This window comes from Homo sapiens, chromosome 1 (assembly GCF_000001405.40).
Source record: "Homo sapiens chromosome 1, GRCh38.p14 Primary Assembly".
Lineage (NCBI taxonomy): Eukaryota > Metazoa > Chordata > Mammalia > Primates > Hominidae > Homo > Homo sapiens.
Window position 1 is genome coordinate 77,700,852 of NC_000001.11, and position 17,640 is coordinate 77,718,491.

A 17,640-nucleotide genomic window follows, 5' to 3' on the forward strand; every position below is an offset into this window, starting at 1 on the left:
CACCACACCCAGCTAATTTTTGTATTTTTAGTAGAGACAGGGTTTCACTATGTTTCAGGCTGGTCTTGAACTCCTGACGTCAGGTGATCCACCCACGTCAGCCTCCCAAACTTTTGGGATTATGGGCGTGAGCCACCGTGCCTGGCACATATCAGAATATCTTATTTTCATATTATTAAATATTGTCATACAATTTTACTTTAAAAGTCCACTGTATTGAATAAACCATACTTTAAGCAACCTCTTATTCCTTATAAAGATTTCTAAAATTTTTTCAACATTAAGATCACAGATTTACTTTGTTCAGTCCTCTTATTCCTGCTATAATTCATAAAATAAGTTTAACAAAATTTACAACCAACAGAATATAAACTAGAACGTAAGATCCCTGAGGACAGGATCTTTTTCTCTTCTGTTCAATAGTGTAATCCCAAGTGCACACAGATATTCAAGAAATACTTGTCAAACAAAAAAACAAATAATTTACCAAAAAAAAATTTTTCAGTCAACCACTTACCTCCATCTTTACCCTTCACAAAACTTTCCCATTCTCTAAACCACTGCATACTGATGCAATAAAAAGTAGCTGGAGAGTCCTCTTTTTGGAACGCTCTGTTAAGCTACAAGGGGGAAAAAAAACAGTCATCTAATATCTAAAACTTGCTTTATGGCAAAACAATACCATCATTCCACTTCAGTGTTTGATAACTCAGCACTTTGGGAGGCTGAGGCAGGAGGAGTCCTTGAACCCAGGAGTTCCAAACCAGTCTGGGCAACATCGTGAGAACATCTCTACAAAAAAAACATTATTTTTTATTTTTATTTATTTATTTTTGAGATAGAGTTTTGCTGTTGTTGCCCAGGCTGGAGTGCAATGGCACGATCTGGGCTCACTGTAACCTCCGCCTCCCAAGTTCAAGTGATTCTCCAGCCTCAGCCTCCCGGGTAGCTAGGATTACAGGTGCCTGCCACCGCACCTGGCTAATTTTTGTATTTTTAGTAGAAATGAGGTTTTGCCATGTTGGCCAGGCTGGTCTTGAACTCCTGACCTCAAGTGATACCTGCCTTGGGCTCCCAAAGTGCTGGGATTACAGATGTGAGCCACCACACTCGGCCTACACACACAAAAAATTTTTTTAATTAGCTGTGTGAGGTGATTTGCACCTGTAGTCCCAGCTATTCGGGGAAGCTGAGGTAGGAGGATTACTTGAGCCCAGAAGGTTGAGACTACAGTGAGCCGTGATTGTGCCACTGTACTCCAGCCTGGGTGACAGAACAAGACCCTGTCTCAAAAAAAAAAAAAAAAAAAAAAAAAAAAAAAAAAAACCAGTGGTACAGTAAGATGTATGCTAACTTAGTACTAGAATACGTGGTAGCATCTATGAATAAACAATTCTAGGTTCTGTCTCAAAATTTAACAAGTATACATAAAAGGGGCATAAAGACTGGGTAAATGAAGATGGTCAAGACAAAGTCTTCAAAACAATAAATACGCCACATATTTATTAAAAATCTAATGTGTAAACTTTATGTACACATACTATATCCACAGTCTATACTTTTTGTTTACTTAAGATACTGGTAGACAACTTGCTATTACCATGCTGCAATGAATGAATGATCTTGTACATGTCATTTCACAAGCAATATACATAAATGTATAAGTAAATTCTAATAAGTGGTGGGACAGTCCCTGAAGACCAATTCCCTCTTCCAGCCCTCAGGCCTAAGGAATGGGTATATGACTCAAACTATACACAACTCTGTCAGAAATAAAAATCTTCAGAGAAGTGACCTAATGGTTAGAATGGAATCATTCCAATGTCAATTCAGGTAGATACTCAGGGCTACCTTAGTTCTCAAACTTTTGGAGGTCTGGTTTTTCAATTTTTATTCTTAGTAAATTTCTTTTTTGCCAGGTTAGCCAGTCTGGCTTCTACCACTTGCAATTAAAAAAAAACCCAAGTGAGAGAAAAACTGATATAGAAAGAGAAGCACAAGCAAAAGAGGCTCGGGAAAATTAAGAGTATTTGGAATTAATCTAATTGTAGTAGTGTGTAAGTAGTGTGTAAGTAGTGTGTAGTAGTGTGTAAGTAATTGCCCATCTCATGATGGGCAATTCAATCCATGGAACACACTACCTGTGGACAAAGACAACCAAGTTCAGATTATATAATTCCTCTAACCAAATTAATCAAAACCCTGTAATTATTCACAGATACCCTTATAAAAATAGCCCAGAAGTACCTCCATGATCTCACCCCATAATCTGACCTCATCTTCTTTCTTCCTCATTTTTCACTGGTGATCATACTGGCCACTTTGTTATTGCCAGAACCAAACAAATACACCTCTGCCTCACAAGCCTTTTGCACTAACCCTTCTTTTTGCAGGTGTCTGAATGACTATCTCCCTTACCTCCTTTAAGTCTTTGCTTAAATGTCATCTTCTCAATGAGGCCTATCTTGACCACCCTGTTTAAAACTCCAACCTGGGCCAGGCGCAGTGGCTCACGCCTGTAATCCCAGCACTTTGGAAGGCCAAGGCAGATCACCTGAGGTCAGGAGTTCGAGACCAGTCTGGCCAACATGGTGAAACCTCATCTCTACTAATAATACAAAAATTAGCTAGGCATGGTGGTGGGTGCCTGTAATCCCAGCTACTTGGGAGGCTGAGGCAGGAGAATCACTTGAACCCGGGACGAGAAGGTTGCAGTGGGCCGATATCGTGCCACTGCACTCTAGCCTGGACAAAAAAGCAAGACTCCATCTCAAAAGTAAAATAAAATATAAAACTCCAACCTGACTCCTCCCCCTCACCAGTGTAATCTTGGTGCCTCTAATTCTGTTCAATGTTTCCCTTTTCCATTGTACCCATCACCTTTTAATATAACATATAACATATTTATTAAATATAAGCTCTGGCATGGCACAGTGGCTCACTTGAGACCAGAAAATTCAAGACCAGCCTGGGCAACATGGTTAAAACCCCATCTCTACTAAAAATACACAAAAAATTAGCTGGGTGCAGTGGCACATCCCTATAGTCCCAGCTATTCATCAGGAGGCTGATGTGGGGGATCTCTTGAGCCTGGGAGATCAAGGCTGCAAAATTAACTGGGTATGGTGGCACACGCCTATAGTCTCAGCTATTCATCAGGAGGCTGATGTGGAGGATCTCTTGAGCGTGGGAGATCGAGGCTGCAGAAAGCTGTGATCATGCCACCGTGCTCCAGCCCGGGCAAAAGAGCAACAACTTGTCTCAAAAAAAAAAAAAAAGTATATATGTGTGTGTGTATGCATATATAAGCTCTCTGAAGGCAAAGATCTTTCTGGGACACAAGGTAGCTGCTTCAATGGAACAATGAAATGGAAAATGCTGTGGCAGTCTCTGATGGTTAACAAAGAAATTAAGGCATATTTGTCTCAAGGCATGGAATTAAAGTTCGGGCTTTCTGTGATGTGCAACTTATCCCTAGAGAACTGAGAGTTCTAAAATGTCATATCAGACTGAATCTGCCAGATGCTGGATTCTAACAACCATTAAATTCATACCACTACCATGTTTGAAAACTTTCAGGACTTACTTTATCTTTGGTATTAAGAAGTTACTTCCTATGTGTTTAGGTAGGCGCTTTTTAAAATTTAGTTAAGCACAGTTACCTCATTAATTTAAGGATGTGTTTCTCTCTAGTTCTGGAAAATTTATCTAAATGGTTACTCTAAATGTAGTTCTCACTCTGTTCTCTTTTAAAAAATACATAATAGAAAAACAATGGATCCTATAGCTATCCAACATGTCAAAACTTTTCTTCCTTCTGTTTATCTTTTTGTGCTTCACCTTAGAAGAAATCTTTCCGCTATATCTTTCAGCATACTCATTTCCTCTCCAATAGTATTTATTTTGCCATTCAATCAACCCATCTATTGAGGTTTTGTTTTGTTATTTAGGATACAATATCCTTATGTATCTCCCTGAATATCAATCATACTTCACATGGTCTACACTCACTGCTCTACCCAGGCAGATACCTTTATACTTGCTGCCTGGTACAGTGCAACAGGCAGAATGCTAAGGTCATCATCCGTATCTGTCACTTCCAAAATTAAAGCCCACACAGTCATTTCCTGTGGCCCTTGGCTTGCTTCTTTGATCTGATCCTATCTGCTTTTTCGGTTTTTCAGAAACTTCACTTAGCTTCCAATCCACTAAGGGCACCTATTTTTATATTCCAGTGTTATTTCTGTTAACACAAATGCTTTGTTTAAAAAAAAAAGGGGGGGGGCTGAATAAAACAAAAAAAACCCTAATATTATAGAATAATAATAGGTTTGCACTTTTTATTTTTTATTTTTTTTTTTGAGACAGAATCTCACTCTTTCATCCAGGCTGGAGTGCAGTGGTGCGATCTCGGCTCACTGCAATCTCCACCTCCCCAATTCAAGCGATTCTCCTGCCTCGGCCTCCCTAGTAGCTGGGATTACAGGCACCCGCCACCATGCCTGGCTAATTTTTGTATTTTTAGTAGAGATGGGGTTTCACCATGTTGGCCAGGCTGGTCTTGAACTCCTGACCTCAAGTGATCCGCCTGCCTCAGCCTCCCAAGGTGCTGGGATTACAGGCATGAGCCACTGAGCCCAGCCAATTTTATTTATTTTTAAAGACAGGGTCTTGCTCTGTTGCCTAGGCTGGAGTGCAGGGTCATGGTCATAGCTCACCGTAATCTCCAATTCCTAGGCTCAAGCAATCCCCTATTCTCAGCCTCCCAAAGTGCTAGCAAGGCATAAGCCACCTTGCCCAGCCCCAGATTTGCTTTAAAAAAAAAAAAAAAATTTTATTAAGGTGTAATCCTCCCACTCTTCGTATGGACTTTAATGGTTTTCTGTAAATTTATAGTTGTGCAACTGTCACCACAATCCAGCTTAGAGCCCTCCAACACCCACAAAAGCTGTCTTGCACCAGTTTGCAATCAATTCCCCTTCTCTCAGCCCTTGAAATCACTGTTTGTCTCCACACTTTTTCCCTTTTTAGAAATTTCATATAAATGAAATTAGACATTATATAGTCTTTTGTATGTCTTACACTTGGCATAATGTTTCTACTATTCATCCATGTTGCTTCATGGATCAGTACGCCATGATCTTTTTACTGCTGAGTAGCATTTTATTATACAACTATAACACATTTTGTTTATCCATTTGTCAGATGATAGACATTTCAATTGTTTCCAGTTTTGGGCAATTATGAACAATACTGCCATAAACATTTGTTTACATGTTTTATGTTAACATAAATTTTCATTTCTCTGGAATGAATACCTAAGAGTGGGATTGCTGGGTCATGTACTAGGAGTTGAACCTACAAGAAATTACCAAACTGTTTATCATGTGGCACACAGCATTTTGCATGCTCATCATTGATATTCATAGGAATTCCCTAATGACTGACACTGTGTACTTTTTATGTGCTTATTAGACCTATCTTCTTAAGGGTAATTCCTATCCAAATTTTTTGCCTATCTTCCAATTGGAGTATTTGTTTACTTACTGAGTTGTATGTTCTTTATATACATAGTCTGGATATGAGTCCTTTGATGACACGTGATTTGTAAACACCTATAACTTACACTGGATTTAGGTCTACCTTCCTAACCCAGTGTTTTACCACGTACCACTATTCTTGGACTTAGTGAATGACTCATTCGTAACCATAATATCCTACATTGGCTCTGACCATGGAAGTCATTTTACACAAAAGAAATGAAGAAACAGGCTTACTTCCATAAAATTCACTGATCTTACCATGCGCTATCATGCAAAAGATGTTGGCCTACTGGACTTAGTTTTTTTGTGTGGGTGGCAACACTTTGTGGGTTTGGTACTATCTTACACGATGTAGTATATGCTCCAAATTAGAAACCAATATATGGTGGTTTTTCCCATAACTGGAATACATAAACCTAGGAGTCAGGTAAAGGAAATAAGAGAGCTCATCTACTACTACCTACTGACATATTCACACAAGTTTTGCTTCCCATACTCACAACTTCGGCCTCTACTAAATGTGGAAGATTTATATCCCAAGTGAACACAACAACAATTTGACTGGACTAAAAGTTGAGACAGCCCCCTGGCCATTTTGAGTTTCTCATGTCACTGAATCAGCAAGCAAAGAGGAGGTTACAGTACTGGCTGCAATGACTGACCCCAGTTATAAAGGGTAAATAAAATGAATACTACATTACTACATAGTAGGAACAAAGAGGATTATGTTGGGAAACCAGATTATACCCACTGTGTTAGTTTCAGAGGGATGCTATAACAAAATGCCACAAATTTGGTAAATGAAAAGGTATTTATTCTCTCAGTTTTAGAGAACAGAACTCCAAAATCAAAGTGTCAGGAGAACCATTCACCCTGCAGAGGCTCTAGGGGAAGACTCCATTCCTTGCCTGTCATGCTTCTAAAGCTTCTACCTTGCAGCTGCATCATTCCAATCTCTGCCTCCATCTTCATGATTTTCACCTCTTCTCTGCGTATCTCTCTGCTGTGTATCTCTGTGAAGGGTCACTTACTGGATTTAGGGCCCATTCAGACAACTGAGGATGATCTCATCTCAAAAATCCTTACATATGCAAATACCCTTTTTTCAAGTAAGGTCACATTCACCAATAAGGTTAATTTACAGAGATTAGAGTATGGAAATATCTTTTTGGGAACCACCATTCAACCCACTATAGGCACCATTTAGTATTTCCATACTCAGAGAGAGAAATTTAATACAGACAAGACTACTAAGGGTTCAAACCCTTCAGAAATGAAGGTCTGGGTTATTTTATGAGGTAAATACATTCACAACCAGCCAGGGTATTGGCTGAGAACAGAGGAAATAAGAAATGGGTAGTGATTAGCTATAGATACATATTTCTTCCTTGCTCCACGTACATATTTATAAATATTTACCAGATGTTGAAATAACTACCAATTTATTTTTTTCCTTTCATTTGACTACTATAAGGTATATTGGTGGTGGTTAACGTTACTGTTCATTCTTTAGATTACAGACCATAACAGGGAAAAGTGTGACTATACTCTCTGAACTAAAAGATTTATGAACATCATTTAGAAATAGGTATAGTGACTGGTGGGACTTTGGGTCTCCCAAATATGGGGAAAGGGCAAATGCAACACATACTGGTGCAGGAGCTAGTTGTATTACATCAGGCAGAAGCATGATATTGTTGCTACTGTTGTTTGGTTGTGTAAGTGCATATGGGTGCTGAGTTGACAAAGGGGTAGGCTGTGCTCTATTATCTGTTAATGAACATCATTTTCATGTATTCATATACTCCCTTCTGTGAAGACAAGCCTACATTTTGCAGGATCCATTGCCAGTAGTACACCAGACTATATATAACCATGATATATGAAATATATGAAAGGTATAAGAGAAAGAAAAATGATTTTCCCCTCTGGTGGCAGCTTTGGGCAGGCTTGAGGCATCCACAGATAGCATAAGTAGGGTTTTGCCACCACTTCTAAGCATCTTCCAAAGAATCCAATCTCACTTAGTATTGTATGCAGCTAACATCTTTAACAGCAGCATCCTGTGTCTCCTGGGCGTCCTCTTGAATAATTCACTTGGGTCCTGATAGTAGCAGTAGCTTCTCAGGTTTCTGAGCACTGCCATAGGCAGACAGCTGAAATCGTTTCCAAGGGCTTTATGCAGTTTTGAATTTTTTAAAACTCTGAAGCAATCTGAAACTTATAGGAAAACTCCAAGTATACAAAGAAATTTTCTTTACCTAGTTTGATTTCAGAATAAGTTGCTGAACAGATGTTCCTTTCCTCCAAATAGTTTGTTGTTTTATAAAATGTCCCTCAATTAGGGTTTGTGACTTTCCTCATTTGAGATTCAGGTTATCCACCTGTGTACCAAAAAGTGGTGCCATGTTCTTCTAATTGTATACTATTCTGGCACATAATTTTGATTTTGTTTCATTTCTTTCTTTTTTTTAAGATATAAAGTCTCGCTATGTTGTCCAGGCTGGTCTTAAACTCCTGGGCTCAAGTGATCCTCTTGCCTCCGCCTCCTGAATATCTGGAACTTACACACCAGCACACCCAACTAATTGATTTGTTTCATTTCTAATGATGCTCATTTTATCTTCATCGAGATGGTGTCAGGATTCTCTGCTGAAAGTTAGTCTTTTCCGTTTGTAATTAATAAGTGTTTAATGAGGGAGTTAAGTAGAAATGATATAAGCATTCCAATCCTCATCCTTTCCATTTATTCATTTATTTATTTATACCAATATGGATGCAGTATCTCCTATTTTATTTAATGAGGTTATATGTTACTGTAATTTATTTTGAGGCTAGGCACAGTAGTTTATGCTTGTAATCCCAGAGCTTTGGGAGGCAGAGGCAGGAAAATCACTTGAGGCCAGGAATTAGAGACCAGCCTGAGCAAGACAGCAAGACACTGTCTCTACAAAAAAATTTATTTTTTAAATTAGCTACACATGGTGGTGTGCATCTGTAGTCCTAGCTACTCGGGATGCTGAGGCAGGAGGATCCCTTTAGCCTAGGAGTTCAAGGTTACAGTGAACTATGACCAGCCACTGCATTCCAGCCTGGTGACAGAATGAGACCCTGTCTTTTAAAATAAAATTTAGAAATATATAGATATATATAGATACATATCTATATATCTATATTTTATATACATGTTTAATTTTAACATTCTGTAAATATAGAACATATTCTCTCTCTATATAAAGCTACATATAGATCTATCTAGATAGATCTATATATATATATGTCTCTGACAGCTAGGTATGATCAATCCTACTGGAGTAATCAATAGATTGGAGTAATCAATCTATATATAGATATAGATATCTATATAAACATATAGACATATATATATCTGAGAGCTAGGTATGATCAATCCTACTGGAGTAATCATTGATCCAAGGCACTTTCAGTGAGAGTTAAGAAATATCAAGTTTCTATACATGCATACACATACACACACACACACACACACACACACACACGTCCATATTTACTCAGCTATTATCATGAGTTCACAAAGATACCCATAACTCCAATCCAATAACAACACAAGGTACAGTTTAGTTTTCTCCTTTTCCATATTTGAAACTTCCTCATCTGACAATGAGAAACTTGGTACTCATTACACGTATGTCTTGATCATTTTCCCATATGGAACCAATCGCTCACTGCCACTACCACCACTATGCTGTACCCTTGTAGCCACCAATGTCAGGCCAACATGGGCATCCCTTCTTATCCTGCCTGGGCTCTAACACCCTTGACTGGGCTCATGCCACTCACTATACAGAAATTCTCTTTACCCTCTGTGGTTATAAACACCATTCTTGGCCACTGCTTCTCTCCCACCCACAATGTGGTACCCTATTCCACTTTTAGATTTCCTGAAAGTCAGCAGTGGTCTTCTTGACCTTCACTGCCCAGTCCTTTCAATAGTAATGTACATCTCTCATTCCCTACATTCTGATTCTATTCAAAATACTTAGAATAGCTACTATTAATCAAATCCTGACAGACACAGTCATTAGCCATTATTTAAGCATTGATGGAAAAAACTATTTTTAATATTCAACTAAAGTTTGCTTCCTTAGATTCAAGAAGCAAATGAAGCCCATGTAAAATAAATAAATCTATACCTGCATCTTTTTTATGTAAAATTTACTTTACTTTAGGCAAGGGCACAAAAAAAGCCCTGAATCAATGAGGAAAAGCAGGTGTGTGTGTGTGTCTACACATGTGCAGGAAATGAATAATACAAAACATACTGGACATCTTATTTTGATCTGCTCAATATCTTCTCCACTGCTTTTACTAAAAGAATCCCAATTTTTTTCTTGCAGTATTACTCCTCCCCATAATAGTGTCTCAGTAGATTTATGAATAAACGTGTCTCTCAAGTGATCCAAATTTTCAATTGTCTTAAATAGTTGGAGTTATGTTACTGACAACAGTACTGCAGAGACTTCTTGCTACGTCAATAATTGGAAGGGTACTAGTCCTTGCCCATAAAACCTGGTTGTTCATGCTTTTGATTTTATGACCACACTTTCTGTTGCTTACAATTAAGGGACACCTCATAATATGCTCAGTTTGTGAAAAGTGAGTATATTTATAAGCCCAGGAGTCCCTCAAAAAAACAAAAGAATATTATATCTCACAAAAGAATCAAAGTAGTACATGCAGTCTGGATAGACTACAGACAACACTAACTTAAGGAAACCTGTAATTTTCCATTTCAATAAGATTTCTGCCAGTGCCAATACATTAAAAAAAAAAAAAGTATTGTCAATCCATAAAAGCAAAAACCCACAAAGGGGCCAGGAGCAGTGGCTCATGCCTATAATCCCAGTACTTTGTGGGGCCAAGACAGCAAATCACATGAGGTCAGGAGTTCGAGACCAGCATGGCCAACATGGCAAAACCCTGTCTCTACTAAAAATACAAAAATTAGCCTAGCGTGGTGGGGCATGCCTGTAGTTCCAGCTACTTGGGAAGCTGAGGCAGGAGAATTGCTTGAACCTAGGAGGCAGAGGTTGCTGTGAGCCGAGATTGCACCACTGCACTCCAGCCTGGGCGACAGAGCAAGATTTTGTCTCATACACACACACACACACACACACACACACACACAAAGGGAGAACATAACTCAACAGAACTGTAGTGAACTGCCTGAGGTCATTCACCATTATGCACCTAGAACACTTGAAATCTATTACAACTCTTTCATCTAATCATTTTATTAATATCATATAACTCTGATAATTGTCAGGTCTTCATCTTTATCCTAGATCAATTTGAAAAGCATCACTTTTTTACCCGAATAAAAATTTCCAATTCAGTTTTTCTTCTTTTTTCAATTTTCTCCGCCTCAATTTGGCAAGTATGACAAATGTACAGATGGTTGACAGCTGGTCCTCCACCATACCTAAAGCATGAAAAATTTAAGAATTAATGTTCTAGGAAGTTTGTTTCTAACATTTAAGTCAGTGGCCAAATACCCAGTAAAAATAAATCCTCTTAATAAAATTCTCAAAGTAATATAAAAATCAAAAATCATATAAGGACTTGTTATTATGTTTATTAAGGTCAGTGACTTTATCAGTTTATTGCTTAACCTGCTTTATCTATATTTCAACTTTCCCTTATTTCTGCTCCAAAATGTTAGAGCCAACAACAAACTAAAAGAAGTGGTTTCAAAAAGTATCATACAACATATAAATCTTAGTTACACATCACAGTCATAGTCAAGTTTTCATCAGATGAAGGCCTCCCCTGGCCTCTCAAGTAAGAAGCATTCAATGTATGAATTATTTTTAATATTTAATTAAAGAAAACATAATTAGTAGGAAAACTGTGGTGGAAAATGTTTTAAAATAAAGGTCAGGAGTTGCGAGACCAACCTGGCCAATGTGGTGAAACCCCGTCTCTATTAAAAATATAAACATTAGCCAGGCATGGTGATGTGTGCCTGTAATCCCAGGTACTTGGGAGGGTGAGGCACAAAATCGCTTGAAACTGGGAGGCAGAGGTTGCAGTGAGCTGAGATTGCACCACTGCACTCCCGACTGGGCGACAGAGCGAGACTCCATCTTAAAATTTTAAAGTTTACGATGTTAAGGCCAGGCCCAGTGATGCATGCCTGTAATCCCAATACTTTGGACTTTGGGAGGCCAAAGCAGCCACATGGCTTGAGCCCAGGAGTTCAAGATCAGCCCAGGAGTTCAAGATCAGCCCAGGCAACATGGCAAAACCCCATCTCTACAAAAAACACCCCAAAATTAGCCAGACATGGTGATGCACGCCTGTGATCCCAGCTACTAGGCAGGCTGAAGTGAGAGGACCACTGGAGCCTAGGAGGTCGACGCTGCAGTAAGCCAAGATCGTGCCACTGCACTCCAGCCTGGTTGATGGAGCAAGACCTTGTCTCAAAAAAAAAGAAAAAAAAATTTACAATTTAAGAGTAAGATACTCAATTGTGTGAGTATATACATATGTAAAATTTTAGTGTGGGGATATGCAAAGTATTTTAAACAAGGTACTTAAATTACCACAGCATACCTTCACAGATAGATAATTAGAAAAAATTAAAATTAATTATCTAGACTATGCCACAGTAGCTACAAAGTCTTCCTACTCACACTTTAGAATGAATAAGTAAGGGAAAAGAATAAACACATAGCACAAGGAGCATCTCTGAAATAATCCAAACCCCTTTTAACCAGTTTAACCGACTTTCACAACACTGTATGGTCTGATTTAAAAAACAAACCTGCTATATAGGTTATCCCAAATGTTCTGAGGCAGCATCAAAACCAGGTCTTCAATATAACCAGCTTTTCTTGGAGGAACACCTAAAAAAATATATAAACATATCTGTTTCATGCTTTTAATTATATTCCTTTCAAACATTAAACTCATTTTTTTTTTAACAGTAACTAAATGACAGATCAATCATCATTGTTTTTTTAAGTGGAAGGGTCTTGTTCTGTCACCCAGTCCAGAGAGTGCAGTGGCATGATCATGGCTCACAGCAGCCTCAAAATTCCTGGGCTCAAGGCATCCTCCCACCCCAGCGTCCTGAGTAGCTGGGACTACAGGCATGCTTCAACACACCCAGCTAACTTTTCTTTTTTTTTTTTTTTTTTTTGTAGAAACAGGCTCTCATTATGTTGCCCAGGCTGGTCTCAAACTCATGACCTCAAGTGATCCTCCTGCTTTGGCCTCCCAAAGTGCTGAGCTTAGAGGCATGAGCCATTGTGTCTGGCCATTTTTTTGAGTCAAGGTCTCACTCTGTCACCCAGGCTGGAGTGCAGCAGCATGACCATGGCTCACTGCAACCTCAAACTCTAGGGCTCAAGGAGTCCTCCTGCCTCAGCCTCCTGAGACAATGAGATTACAGGTGTGAGCCACTGCACCCAGCTCAATCATTATTCTTACACTCTCTCTCCCAAGAACGGTAATTATAAAGCATTTTTGGTGATTGTGTTTCCTCAAGATGAACATACACCTTAAAATTTCTATGTCCAATACAGGTATCCCTATCCCTTCTGGTTTCACTACAAACATAATTACCATGAATATCCCATCTTCAACCTTGAAGTTTAATTGGCATCACACAAAGGTCCTATTTATTGTAGAAATAAACATTAACACAGCCAATCTCACAAGGGCCAAAGTTATATTTAATTATGAGGCTTTTTTTTCTTAAATCCCAGATACATTTCCATACTTGGGAAAAAAGCCAGCTATTCATTTAGACAATGGGGTTAAGAACCACCAATATAGTCGATAGATAAAATCACCAGCACAGGAATGCCTCAGGTAGGAAAAATGATGTATAATAGAGGAGCTCACTGTAATGTAAACAGCTGTTTATGTATCTTACTCTACTATGAAATTAGAGCTTTCACAGAAGAAAAAGGATTTTTAGTGTCCTTAGGCACTAGCAAAAAGTTTAGAAAGCATGTACTCAGTAAATATATGTTCAATAAAGAAGCTAGAGATTACCTACAATTAAAAAGGAAGGGTGAATTTCTGAAACCATATGGAATTAAAACACATTAAGTTTGAATGCAGGTGGGGAAATGGGAAATAAGTGGGAGAGGAAAATTCTTGGCTCTCCTAATTTGCAAATTATTTTACAGCAAACTTCTACTACCGGTTTGCATTACAGGAGTTCTTACCTCCATGAATACAAAGAAAGTCATTATTTGAAATAGGGCCAGGTTCGGCAAAGGTCTTAAATTTATTAAGCCACTGTCGAGAAATATAAAACTGAAGGAGGCTTGGTTCCATTATGTTCAATAAATTTGATATCCTTCTCCTCTCTTTTTGTGCCTCTTCGCTGCTCTTCCTATTAAGGACAATGATTAGTTAAATTCAATATGCATTTTACTACATTACTAGTAGATGGATTTTTCTTCTTATTAGACTTAACACACATATTAACACTATCTTTATTAGGTCTTGGGAATTTCAAGAGAAATATACTTTGTATTATCCACCAAATACATTATATACTCATAGGGATGAAACTGTATCTTACCTACAGGTATCCACATAACTACTGGAACACAGTAAGCATTCAAATGTTTGTTAATAAGATCAAGCTAAATAATTAATCTGCTTCTGTTTCAGAAGCTAGCATCTTCTTTTATAAGATGCTAAAAAAAAACAAATATTTTTATAGTAATACTTTCATTATTAGCTACTTTGGGAGAAAATTTGGTACTTAATTCAGACCATCAATGCCTAATTTTTAAATTAAACCTAATCTTTCTTTTTCTTTTTTTTTCAGATGGCGTCTCACTCTGTTGCCGAGGCTGGAGTGCAGTGGCGCAATCTAGGCTCACTGCAACCCCCACCCGCCGGGTTCAAGCGATTCTCCTGCCTCAGCCTCCCCAGTAGCTGGGATTACAGGCACCTGCCACCACACCTGACTAATTTTTGTATTTTTAGTAGAGACAGGGTTTCACCATCTTGGCCAGGCTGGTCTTGAACTCCTGACCTCGTGATCCACCCGCCTTGGCCTCCCAAAGTGCTGGGATTACAGGCCTGAGCCACTGTGCCCGGCACTAAAATTAATCTTTCTAAAACAAAATATATCCCTTTGCTCTTCAAGTAAATGATTTAGCATTTTCTGAACAAAGAATCATTCTACATATACAGCCTTTCACTGTATTTTACTGTAATGAAATAGGAGGAAAACAATTCCTAATCTTGACTCAGCAATCCATTAGAATGTCTTAGAAGTCACTGATAAGCCCAAAATGTGAGAGATGTCCTTTCGCATCTACACTTATTTCCATTACCTATAGAAAAGAACGTAAGCTTCTGCATTTTGTACAGTAGATTCTGAAACTTCAGTGACACTCTGATCATCAAATTCATACCAGAGATTATTTAGATTGTTTCGGCAGTAGGCTATATAGTGTCCACCTGAATTTGAGGGAAAAGAAATCATTACAGTAATACAAAAACAACAGAAGAAAGGAGGATAAACTTTTTATATTTCCAGTGCCTAGCACAGTAGCTGGAATATAGGAAGAATTATGCTTGTATTTTTTTTTCAGTTTGCACGCTTGCCACCATTCCTTCATCACCTGACGACAGAACATGTAATTTTTTAAATTTTTTTATTTTTTAATAGACACAGTCTTGCTCTGTTGCCCAAGCTGGCGTTCAGTGAAGGGATCACAGCTCACTGCAGCCTCAAATTTCTGGGCTCAAGCTATCCTCTTGCCTCAGCCTCCTGAGTAATTGGAACTACAGGTGCACATCACCACACCCAGCTAATTTATTTTTGTTTTTTTACAGATGGGGTCTTGCTATGTTGTCCAGGCTGTTCTCAAACTCCGAGCCTCAAGTGATCCTTCTGCCTCAGCCTCCAAAGGTGCTGGGATTACAGGCATGAGTCATTAACACCTGCGGGGGTCTGTCCCACAGACCCTGACCCAATGACGGATGAATAAAGTACACTGACACAGATATTCTGCTTTGCCAGTCTGGCTAAGCATCTGGGCCACTTACAGACTCCAAGAACAGTGCTGTAAACAGTTGCAGACAGCAGCCTCGACGAGCCAGTGAGACTCGCATTTATTCAGTACAGATTAATTGACAAAGCCTTGAGTCAACACCACTAGAGGGTAATTGATATTGCAAACCTCCCCAGTAGAAAGCAATTAAGAACCCGGTAAATCAAAGGTTAGTCTTAGGACCACATGGGTAAACAAGCTAGTGAGATAAACTCCCCACATTCCTTTTCTAATCTAATTTACTTAACTAAGGGGACAAGGCTGCCTTCAGCCAAGTACTGTATGTAAAAACTCCCAGCCCTCCAGAAGGGTTTGTGTATATTTTCTAAAACTAAAATTTTTCCCACCAGCCTGACTGCGCCCCCACAAACACCCAGCTATTAGAAAACATATTCTTTTTTTTCTTTTTTTTTTTTTTGACATGGAGTTTTGCTCTTGTTGCCCAGGCTGGAGTGCAATGGTGCAATCTCAGCTCACTGCAACCTCCACCTTCCAGGTTCAAGCGATTCTCCTGTCTCAGCCTCCCGAGTAGCTGGGATTACAGGCGCCTGCCATCATGCTTGGCTAATTTTTTGTATTTTTAGTAGAGACGGGGTTTCACAATGTCGGCCAGACTGGTCACGAACTCCTGACTTCAGATGATCCACCTGCCTTGGCCTCCCAGTGCTGGGATTACAGGTATGAGCCACCACACCCAGCTAGAACACATAATCTTAAAAAATCCAGTATAAAAATCATGTTAGGGCCAGGCATGGTGGCTCACACCTGTAATCCCACCACTTCGGGAGGCCGAGGCGGGCAGATCACGAGGTCAGGAGATCGAGACCATCCTGGCTAACACGGTGAAACCCCGTCTCCACTAAAAATACAAAAAAATTAGCTGGGCGTGGTGGCAGGCGCCTGTAGTCCCAGCTACTTGGGAGGCTGAGGCAGGAGAATGGCGTGAACCTGGGAGGCGGTGGTTGCAGTGAGCCAAGATCGCGCCACTGCACTCCAGCCTGGGCAACAGAGTGAGACTCTGTCTCCAAAAAAAAAAAAAAAATCATGTTAATGCCTTATTAACTGTATACAATTTTCAATATTGGAAACATCATAGTAAAAATATTTAATTGCATAAAATTATCTGACATGTTTTTAATAATTAGCAGTAACATCTGTTTTTAACATTTTTTCTTTTATTCAGATATTATTTAAAAGATTAATTAGGATGTTTATTTATTTATTTTGTAGAGATGGGGTTTCACTATGCTGCCCAAGCTGGTCTCAAACTCCTGGCTTTAATTAAGTGATTCTCCCACCTCATTCTCCCAAAAGGCTGGTATTACAGGTATGAGCCACCACGCCCAGGCTTATTTTAATTTTTTTTTAAATCTAGGAACAACTGTTAAACCTATATACTTACTACTTGCAGTTCCATGATGGCAAATGACTGACAGAAGATCATATGTCACAATTTGAGCTGGACTATCCTTAGCAAGAAATGGCTGAAGATCCAAGCCTTCTAGCGGAAATGAAACATGGGTACTGATTTTGGTGGAAAACATTAGTTCATGTCTGAATCTTTTAAGGTGGATGCACAAAATCTAAAAAAGAATAAAATTCAAAACTAATTTGTCAATACAGAAAACAAAAAGCATTATAACAGGTAAAACTTAGTAACATTTTTATTCAACAAGCAAGAAACTGAGGTGTTCAATCAAATTACAATTATGAAGTTATTTAGATTTTTATTTCGTTTTAAATGCTAGATAAAGCAGTCTATTCAATATATACTGAAGTGTCAAGGTTAAGTATTGATCTGCAATTATAACCTGCTTCCAGAGATGTTAAAAATATGGAAATGGTGAAACATGGTACTTTCTAAGTTCACTGCTATTTGTTTTTCTAATTTTACACTTTAGACCTGGCAAGATCCTGCAAGTATGATTAAACTTTGTTCAACACAGCACATTGTTAAAGGGCACTTACGGTATTTAACTCAATATTTTAAAACTGAATAATCTTAAAAAGGCATGCATAGCAATCAT

General features: G+C 38.7%; 1 protein-coding gene across 15 annotated transcripts in view; it reads right to left on the reverse strand.

Moving 5' to 3' along the window:
- Positions 1-17,640, reverse strand: part of USP33 (ubiquitin specific peptidase 33) — a 63,866-nt gene that overhangs the window by 4,865 nt on the left and 41,361 nt on the right. For 6 of the 15 annotated variants that reach the window (NM_001377431.1, NM_201624.3, NM_001377438.1 and 3 more), the window contains 6 exons: positions 17,016-17,196; positions 14,891-15,017; positions 13,763-13,932; positions 12,349-12,430; positions 10,896-11,004; positions 518-620 (listed from right to left, as the gene is read on the reverse strand). In NM_001377431.1, the coding sequence (NP_001364360.1) occupies positions 518-620; positions 10,896-11,004; positions 12,349-12,430; positions 13,763-13,932; positions 14,891-15,017; positions 17,016-17,196 (772 nt within the window). Of the gene's footprint in view, positions 1-517; positions 621-10,650; positions 11,005-12,348; positions 12,431-13,762; positions 13,933-14,890; positions 15,018-17,015; positions 17,197-17,640 lie in introns of those variants that run through there. The other 9 variants (NM_001377436.1, NM_001377434.1, XM_047449731.1 and 6 more) reach the window with 3 other exon arrangements.